Source organism: Homo sapiens, chromosome 3 (genome assembly GCF_000001405.40).
Source record: "Homo sapiens chromosome 3, GRCh38.p14 Primary Assembly".
In the NCBI taxonomy this organism is placed as follows: domain Eukaryota; kingdom Metazoa; phylum Chordata; class Mammalia; order Primates; family Hominidae; genus Homo; species Homo sapiens.
The window spans coordinates 145,965,373-145,975,736 of NC_000003.12; positions in this window are offsets into that span (position 1 = coordinate 145,965,373).

The window sequence follows — 10,364 nt, forward strand, 5'->3', positions numbered from 1 at the left end:
ATTTTCTATTTCATTGTCATCACTGCCACAGCATCCTCATTACTCATCCTGCCTATTCTCAACTTACTAAATACCGCAGCTCGATTCATCTTTCCCAAATACTGTTTTAATTGAATAAACTTTGCCACCACACAACATATTTCTAAAAGTACAAATTATTGGCTAGACACAGTGGCTCACGCCTGTAATCCTAGCAATTTGGGAGGCCGAAGCGGGTGGATCACCTGATGTCAGGAGTTTGAGACCAGCCTGGCCAACATGGTGAAACTCCATCTCTACTAAAAATACAAAAATAAATAAATAAATAAATTAGCCAGGTGTGGTGGCATAAGCCTGTAATCCCAGCTACTCGGGAGGCTGAGGCAGGAGAATCGCTTGAACCTCAGAGGCAGAGGTTGCAGTGAGCCAAGATCGCACCACAGCACTCCGGCCTGGGCAACAGAGCAAGACTCTGCCTCAGAAAAAAAAAAAAAAAGTAAATTTCCTCCTACTCTCTTATTTGAAGACTTCCTCTAAATCATGTCAGTTTGTCACTTCTAAAAGATACATGTCCTTTTCCAGTGCTTTCTTCTTTCTTATTCCCTTCTTTTGCCACCCAACTGCTATCATCTCCACATATTGCATATCCAGTTATACTTTAGGGTTTAGGAAATATTAACCTTCTGCAGGACATTTAATCTCACTCTCTCCAGCTTTTATTGGCCATAGTTTTCTCATTACAGACTTTAAAAAAATATTTTGTAAATATTTGTGTAAATATCTCTTATTATGTGATAAGCTTTCAAATAATTCATTATAATTCTCATGGTATTAACACTTGTGTTCTATAAATATATCGAATTATTGAAACAAAGAACAGATGATCTTTCAATCTATGCATTAAGCTACTAGGAGAAAATAAGGTTTCCAAGCCAAATGTCACAACTTAAACCTTAATTAATTAGCTTCAAAATTTTGCTTTCAGTAATTTCCAGAAGGTACATATGTAATTTATCTTCTAAAAATATTATCAGAATGAATAGGTTTGGACAGATGTGCCAGACAAAATTATTTTCATGGTCATAGACATATCATGAATATTTCATTCCATTTATATGTCCCCATTTCAACTGTATGACTCAGAGAATTTGTTAAATCTATTTGCTATTTCTCTTACTTGTTTTAGTTCAGATGTAAATTACCAGATACCTTACAAAGCCATGAATAGCAGTATCCAAATAACGTAAAATGGGCAATTTGAGTTTCATATTCAAAACACTGTCATTTAGACCCCAACTCAATTATACTTCCTCTCACCTTGGTAGCTTAGAATTCCAGGTTTCCATTATCAAAAACTCCTTTAGTTTACCTATCACTGCAGATTCTGTCAACTGGCTTCAACTAAGGAACATTGATAATACTGACAAAAATCGTTTCCAACAGTTAATACTAAAGGCAAGGTTTTTAAAAATCCTTTTAAAGTCATTACAAAGCTGCCTTAATCCTTCTGGTGCAAGGTAGGATATAAATGAATTCATCTTGTTTGTTTCCTTAGGGAAGGAATGCATACAGATCATTTTCCCATAATTTGGAAAGTATATTACTTATTTATTTTCTCTTGAAGGGCTTTATCTTTCTCTGCTGGCAAAAATAGTTGAAGATACAACTTTCTTTGTAGCATACAAATTATGAAATCTGTATTCCTTCCTACAAACAGTAAAATATGGTTTGATATCACGATAGCACAAAAATAAAAATACATATCAGTGAGATGGCAAAGAGTGTGAAATTCCTAGAGAGGTACTAAGGGCCCTTAGGAGGCCCAAATTCAATTGATTGAACCGTTTTCCAACCCCTCACCAATGTTTTCTCCCATTAATTAATTTTGATGACTAGGCAACTGCAGCCCCATAGAGTAGTCACGTCCAACAAAATGGATCCAGGCTACAAAGCAGACAAGATCTCCTTAACTTTCCTCCATACAGGAAAGTCTGCCTTCCCAGTCATTTTCTCCAATTAGAAGAAGTAGAAAAGCCTTTGGCTTGGGAGAGATTTATTCTAGAGTTCCTGAAGAGGATCATATATGTGAAATGAATATTTTTTAAAAAGACAAAAAAATTAATTTTGAAGAGTCTTAATAAATTTGATATCTGAGACCTAACATCTTACAATCCAGCTGTCTGACAGGAACCAATGACTATCCATGTATCTATTCAATAAATATTTATTAAATGCCTAAAATGTTTCAGGCAATGTTCAGTGAATAAAGCAGAGGATGGTTCCTGATGACACAGAACTCAGTATTTAGCGGGAAAGATATTTCCCCGTATTAACACATCATCCCCTCCATTATCTGGGGCTCTTTCTCACATCTCAGATATTGAATTCTTTTACTGCCAGACACCTGTGTTCATTATATATCTCCCTCTTTCTCCTACTCTTACATCTTCTTAGCAATCAGCTTTTGTTGATCCTAACTCCTAAAGCTTCCTCTGTCTGTGCAAATAAATGACAATTGGGAGACTCCATATTCCCACCCCACATGAAATTGCTGGTACCTGGAACTAGATTTTAAAACAATACATATGCCTGTAGTCCCAGCTACTTGGGAGGCTGAGGCAGGAAAATCATTGAACCCGGGGTGCAGAGGTTGCAGTGAGCCGAGATTGCGCCACTGCATTCCAGCCTGGTGACAGAGACTCCAACAAAAAAAATAAAAATAAAAAATAAAGACAATACATAATCTGTTTTCTGACTACATACACACGTTTTAACTTGCACTCTTGTCAAGGCAGGGCAACATAAGATGAGTTTAACTTTCAGGAGATCTTGTGCCAATAGTTCTGCATTTTTCTTATCTCCTCCTTTTCTCTTTTTGCTAGGGTCTCATTTATTTTCTATAAATGCCTCCAGATTCTTTCCATTTTCCCTTGATTACAGAAGTCTTCTTTTCTCTGCCCTATTAGCCACACTACTTTAAACAAAGAGAAGAAATAATTTCCAGATGGAAACTGTGGCAGATTATGTTTTGTGTTCCTATGCCAATCACCACTTTGTATGCTTGTATACCCAAAGCCTATTTCAGCGTTCCTGAAATTTTAAAGCTAAAGAAAATAGACTCAACTCTAAAGTGAGTTTTGAGATAATGTACCAATGTATTGAAGAATTTTCACCAAGAACTCCCAAAAATATGGAGGGAAACAGAGCTCACTAGAGGGAAACCTAAGAATGGCGTAACTATACTGGGAAGTAGGCACTGTTTTTTCTTGCACAAATGCTTTATTGATTTGGTGTACCTGTGCATGCCAGGCACTGACAAAATAGAGGTAAAAAGCTCTTGTACTTTCATGTTCTAGTCTTGGAAACAACTGATAAATGTGTAAACATATACAAATGCCTATATTCTGTTTCCAAATTTAAAGTGCACTGAGTTTTTAATGTTTAAATAACCTACAAATTGTGTTTCTAGATAAAGACTTAAAGAAAATATTACCAATAAAAGGAGAAAAAGTTAACACTACGTATCTACTCTGTATCTACATTAAGTGTTTCATTTAATCTTCCCACCAATAACAAAAATAGTAATACCTGCTGATAAAAAAAATCGTATATTGGTTCTTTGAACTTTGTTGAAACTTATGTTAAGACCTAGGACCTGAACAATTTTGATAAATGTTTGTTTTCTAGGTTGACTTTACCTTAATGTTTTGCTCAATGATTTGTACTTTTGATAATATTTATATTTATTATATTATAAACTTAACCTATATTATATAGAAAAATATATTTTTAATGGTTGGTTATTTATAGGATGATCTAACAATGGGAATAATACATAAGAGTTATTAAACATAAAGTGAATTGGTCAGCTTCTCTTATACTTGTAACAAGTATTGTTAATACTTGCTTTGTGTACTTGGTGGTTATCTTATTAGGTTCACATAAGTTTAGCCTTTTCACCTGTGATCTTGGTTAAGTGACTTTAATTCCTTTGTCTCAGTTTCCTCCCCTATAACTTTGAGGTATTTGATTCTGCCAGGTGCCCAGGGCTACTATCATCCTAGATTCACTTTAAATTTTCTATTGGAGGTAGCTGAGGTCACAAAAATTAAGAGCCAAAATCCAAATAAATGCTGTCTTATTATGGCTAAGAAATCTCCAAGTACACATCTCCTCTGCCTTCAACCCTGTTCCACCAAGGACTCATGATCAGAGGTTTGTATCTTCATAGTCTCTTGCTCTGCTTTTTTATCAGATTCACCCACTGAAGGTATGATATTTGAGAACTGTGGAAGTGTTTCCAATCTGAGTTTCCACTCTGCTCAGTTCCTAGGACTTTTTACACTCTCCTCTTCCTGGGAGACTATCAATAGCCCATCTCTATGCCCTCTGATATTTGAAACTCACCAGCTCAGCTATTGATTAAGACTATTTTTTTTAATTGTGACATATTTGTGTATACATAGACACACACACACACACACACACATACGTGAAGTTATTTTTTGTATTGCCCCAAAACTTCTTGGTGTGTGCTATACAAGGAGAGTTTTTATTCTGAACAGCTAAGCTTCTATTGTCAAAAATGGAAGCTTTTTGCCTCTGTGCCCTGCTATCTTCTTACTCTTATCTGCTGCGCTGTAGGAAATGATTGATTGAAATTAATATAACTGTATCTAAGTATTAATTTATAGATTAGAATCTTATACTTTCTTCATTATAATTTTCACATTGTCTTTTGTTTTCTAACAAGTTATAACTTTTTTGTAATATTTTCTTTAAAAATAAAACATGACTACATGATCTCATTGGTATAGTATTTCCTTGACTTATGCAAGTTCCAATATAAAGTGAGCCTCTAACCCGATATTGTCTTTGACAAATATTTTGCTTATGCCATAAGTTTCCTAGTCACTAAAGTGTGTGTATGTGTGTGTGCATGTGTGTGTATAAGGAACATATGTGGTACAATGGGGTAAAGAAGTTTGGAGATTTGTAATCTACGGAATCTCTACTTCATTTACATTTATACACACACACAAACACACTTGCATACATATATACATAGATGGTGATGATAATGATGAAAACAATCATGGCAGCAACATTGGATGGGAATAATGCAAATGAAGAAAAAAATTGTTTTGCCCATAACACTTTGATAAATCATTAAAAAAAATTTCAAATGTCAACAGAATTTCCCAATGGAATAAATAATAAATGTCCATTACAGCTATTAGAGTCTTTCAGTAGGCCCATATAACTAAATACCAAAATGACATCTAATAATTTTTATTAAAATAATTTATAATGAATTATACATCATACAGTGAAGTCCTCCAGGTCTTTAAAATTTGCATATCTAATTTTCTGGATATTTAGTATCACCAAATTTGTGTACATGTATAGATAGATAGATGGATAGAGTATACTGTATTTAAGTGCATATGTATACACATAAATACACATGCGTATGTTTTAAATTATATATTACTCTTTACATATATGTATCTTAATTGTTTTTGTTTTATCATTTCTCTTGTTGCCAGGTCATTGACAATTATTTTATTAATGGTATGCCAGATCATAATCCTACGGATTTAATTAAGAACAACCAGATAACCATGATTTTTAGAATTATAAATAAGCCAGAGTAAATAAGGTATTTAGTGAGAAAATGTGAACTCTCCTTCGAGGGCAGTATCTAAGTTTTATTGCGTGGAATAGGTGAACATCTCTTTGGTTGTATGGAAGCCTCTATTACTTAAATTTTAGTTTTTGGAAAAACCTAAAAGTTTATTTGAATTCAATAGTAGTTTTTAAATCACTGTGTTTCTGTAAGTAGCAAATGACACACAGGAAAAGAAACAGAACAGCAAAAACCTTTTAATCAGCAAAATTTTCTGTTTACTGATAATTCATTGCCAGAAAATAAAATGTCCCTTGAAGATTAAGATAATAGCTTTACATTGATAGATGTCAGTAGATAATGGAATTGTGTACTCTCATTACCATTGCTCAAGCTGCTAAACCTTTAGCCAAAAATAAACAAAATGGCCTTTTGGTCATTTGTTAAATTGTAATGAAGGAAAAATTCTGTGAAAATTGTGTAAGACATTCCTTGGAATGGGGACATTTTCCCATTTTTCATTCCAAGATGTCAAAGCAATTAATATTATTTTCCACAGCTGAGACATGTTTTAATACATTAAAGGTTTCCAGTAGCAACAATTGATTGAAAAGTACTGAGGATATAAATAAAATGTAATTAATTTGGCAAAAAAAAAAAGCCTGAAAATGTTTGGAGATGTTGGAGATATGACTTTTACCAGTTTAGAAGAACAGTGTAAGTCTGGAGAGCAGAATGTTTGCTTATGAATTCCAGGCTCTAACTTCTTACACATTTATATCCAAGAAAATGTCAAGAAAACAAAACCCAAGATTTATGTACATTTCATTTTTGATATCACAAATTTTATCATTTTTATGAGGTATACCTCATAAAGTTTATCTTTTCATAACATTTAAAGCTCTCAATATAACTTTTCCTTAACTCATACAGATAAAATAAAATTATACTTAGAAATATTTCCTCCTTGCCTCACTCCAGAAAACCATGCTGGTGAGAGAGGAAAACATTTTACAGGTTTTCCAGGGATTGTGTTTAAAGTCACAGTTGAAAGGAAACAAACCTATTTTCCCAGCAACAATCTTCCAAGACATCCTAATTATTAAAGTATCTTATGCATTGTCACTGATAAATGAGGCTAACTGCTCAAAAGGCTAATTTTTAGACCTTCTCTCGTATTAAGATTTAAGGCAATAAATTATACATGTTATTTTCGCTATAAACAAATGTTAAATGGTACTAACTACATATAGTTCAAAATTGCTATTAATACAAATTTAAATTTTTTTTCTAAAACCATTAGATACATTTGATTATTCTGCACCATGTCTTATGAGAAAGAAAATAGCAAACACATAAAGGCATTCACCTTAAAATCCTACATTTTATCCCATGAAGTGTTCAACTAACATTGGAGTCTTGAAAATACTTGACTAGCTGTGATGGTTAATATTGTGTCAACTTGATTGGATTGAAGGATGCAAAGTATTGTTTCTGGGTGTGTCTGTGAGGGTGTTGCCAGAGGAGATTAACGTTTGAGTCAGAGGACTGGAGGAGGCAGACCCACCCTCAATTTGGGTGGGCACTATTCAATCGGCTGCAGGCAGAAGAAGATGGAATGAGCTGATTTGCTGAGTCTTCTGGCTTTCATCTTTTCCCTGTGCTGGATGCTTCCTGCCCTTGGACATCAGACTCCAGGTTCTTTGGCTTTTGGACTCCTAGATTTATGCCAGTGGTTTTCCAGGGGCTCTCAGGCCTTGGGCCACAGACTGAAGGCTGCACTCTGGGCTTCCCTACTTCTGATGTTTTGGGACTCAGACTGAGCCACTCCTGGCTTCCTTGCTCCTCAGCTTGCAGACAGCCTGTCATGGGACTTTACCTTGTGATCCTGTAGTCAATTCTCCTTAATAAACTCCCTTTCATATATACATATACCCCATTAGTTCTGTCCCTCTAGAGAACCCTGACTAACACACTGGCAAACTGCAAATTAATAGTAGGACAGTTGAGGCAAATATTTAAAGTAGACTTACTTAAGAAATTCCTCATCAAGTAATTGCATCGCTTGCAATTTAATCTAGAAGCACTGACTCAAAAACCCACAATTTGCTAGTCTACCACAATTCCACTTTAATTAGGTTAAAGAATGAAGAATCTCATTTTGCACACAACATTTTTCAAATTTTTATGTTTTACTATATTCTGTCTATATTTTTATCAATATTAAATTTTTAGAATAGGCTATTAATCTGAGATAATTTTGTTTAAGAGTTTTAGTTTATACAACAAGCCAATCTAGGAAAGAACTACCAGGCCAACATTTTAATTTTTAGATAACTGGGGACTGAGATGAGCAAGAATCAGAACATGATTAAACAGTGTGAAAGCTAATGCTTTCCTAAGTCACTTACAGTACCTCTCTTCTAGCTTTTCCAAGTGTGTTCTAAAGTAAAGAATCCATAAATACAGAACTTGTTCTGAATGTCAAGTAACTAAAACAAGGAGTCCTTTATCACTTCAGGGTTGGTAGAAGTTAGAGGAGAGAAATAAGTAGGCGGGATAAGTCAGGAACATTCATGAAGATAATGAAGCTCTAAGAAAAAAAGAGTGAAATTAAATTTGGTGAACAAAGAGAATTCAGGACCATAATTCTGCATAGAACCCAACAGACTAAGAATATGGTGAGTAGAGCCCTGTGGGTCGACTGGGTTAATCAAATGATATCCCAGATCCCAGAATGACACTTTTCCATCTAATATATTCCCTGAGTATATGTCAGTGGCCTTACATTCACTGGTCTTGGTAATTAATTAAATAATATCAAATATATTCTTATAAATTATACCCTTAACTGAGGTGGAACCAGATAGAGCAGGATTTCTACTTACTGTTTTTGAAAATTGCTTTTTAGTCAGAAATTTCATGTGCTCAAATCCTCTTATCTATTGCCCTACCCAAATAATTATCATTGTCATCAACTAGAAATATTAATAATTTGTTAGGTTTTTTCAAAAAATAAGTATGAAGAATTTAAGGAAGAAAAGATAATAGATTGACTTTGAAGAGGTTACTTTGTTTTGTTTATTTCTGAAACAATGCTTAAAATGTTTTCTTAAGTAGGAAGGGAAATAACAGGGGGACTTGGGCATATAAATTGTTCACATATGCACTAATATTAACAAATTTATATGAATTACATTTAAAAATATGAAGCAATCACTCATTTGTGAATCTTTCATGCAACAAATGTTTAATGAGCATCAACCATGTGTCAGGCACCATACTGAGCATCAATGATAGAACAAGAGTAGTTTCAGTCCTCCTCTGAGACTAGAAGCTCAGAGTCTAGTTCTGTGAGACAGAACAAATTTTCATACAAGTAATTAAAATTTCACTAACTGGCTGAAGCAATATAATCATTAATCATGTCATACATCAAAAGCTTCAAGATATACAGTTAATCCTTTGGTCCTGTGCTCCATCAATTCAATGTTTTCACCAGGTTTTCCATTCTGCTCCACTATCCTTATAGCATTGGCTTTTGGACCTAATGGGACTTCTTTTTTTTTTTTTTTTTTTTTTTTTTGAGACAGAGTCTCACACTGTCACCAGAGCTGGAGTGCAGTGGTGCGATCTTGGCTTACTGCAACCTCCGCCTCCCAGGCTCAAGCAATTCTCCTGCCTCAGCCTCCTGAGCAGCTGAGATTACAGGTGTCCACCACCCGCCCAGCTAATTTTTTGAACTTTTAGTAGAGATGAGGTTTCACCATGTTGGCCAGGCTGGTCTCAAACTCTTGACCTCATGATCTGCCCGCCTCAGCCTCCCAAAGTGCTGGGATTACAGGTGTGAGCCACCACGCCTAGCCATGGGACTTCTTACCATATTGTTGTACGGTTGTTGCAGAGGAGTAGCATAAGCTAGTACTTATACAGTACTTGAAAGAAAGCACACATTGAATAAATGTGGTCTCTGAGGTTCTATTAATGTTGTTCAATCCTGAGAACAATCTCCTGAGGTAGATACTATAATTCTGCACACTGAGGTCCAGCAAATTTAGATGTTTTAAAAGATGATTCAGTTACTAAGTTAATAAATGCACTAGAATTCATACCCAGGCTTTTCTGAATCCAGAATCTTTGCTTTTATTATTGTGCTATGATGTACGTCAAGTACTGTATAAGAACAATGCTATAAGTATCAATGTCCTATGATTGTTAGCTACTATTTTCAATAAGATTATTTTTTATGATTTCCATTTTCTCAGCAGGCCTGCTGCTACTATGATCCAAAATTGTTTTCTTTCCTCATTGTCAGAATTCCGGAAATTGAAGATATGAAAAAAATAACCTCAATAGATTCTGTCCTCATTAGTTTTGTCATTTATAAACTAAAATATTGTTTCAAGTTTAAAATAAAGGGTATGAAACTTTTGTAAGACATCTAAAGTTAACCAGGTGATAAATATGTGCAAATGTATGGTGGGATTTCATCTATACAATAGTAACAATTGTTCTTTAGATGCTCATTCATAAGCTACCTTGTGGTTTTCAAATATGCTCGTTTGTGAATATCATAGTTAAAATTTAGATAAAGTTACTAAAAGATGGGAATCCTTTTTGTTTATTATATATCTTTCAGCACCATATAATAGGTGCACAAATATTTGACTAAGGATTTATTCTATGTTCTTGTCAATAGCAGGCTTTCAGGGCTACTCTGTCAGTATGACCCCCCCCTACCATCAGGCTGTGCTGG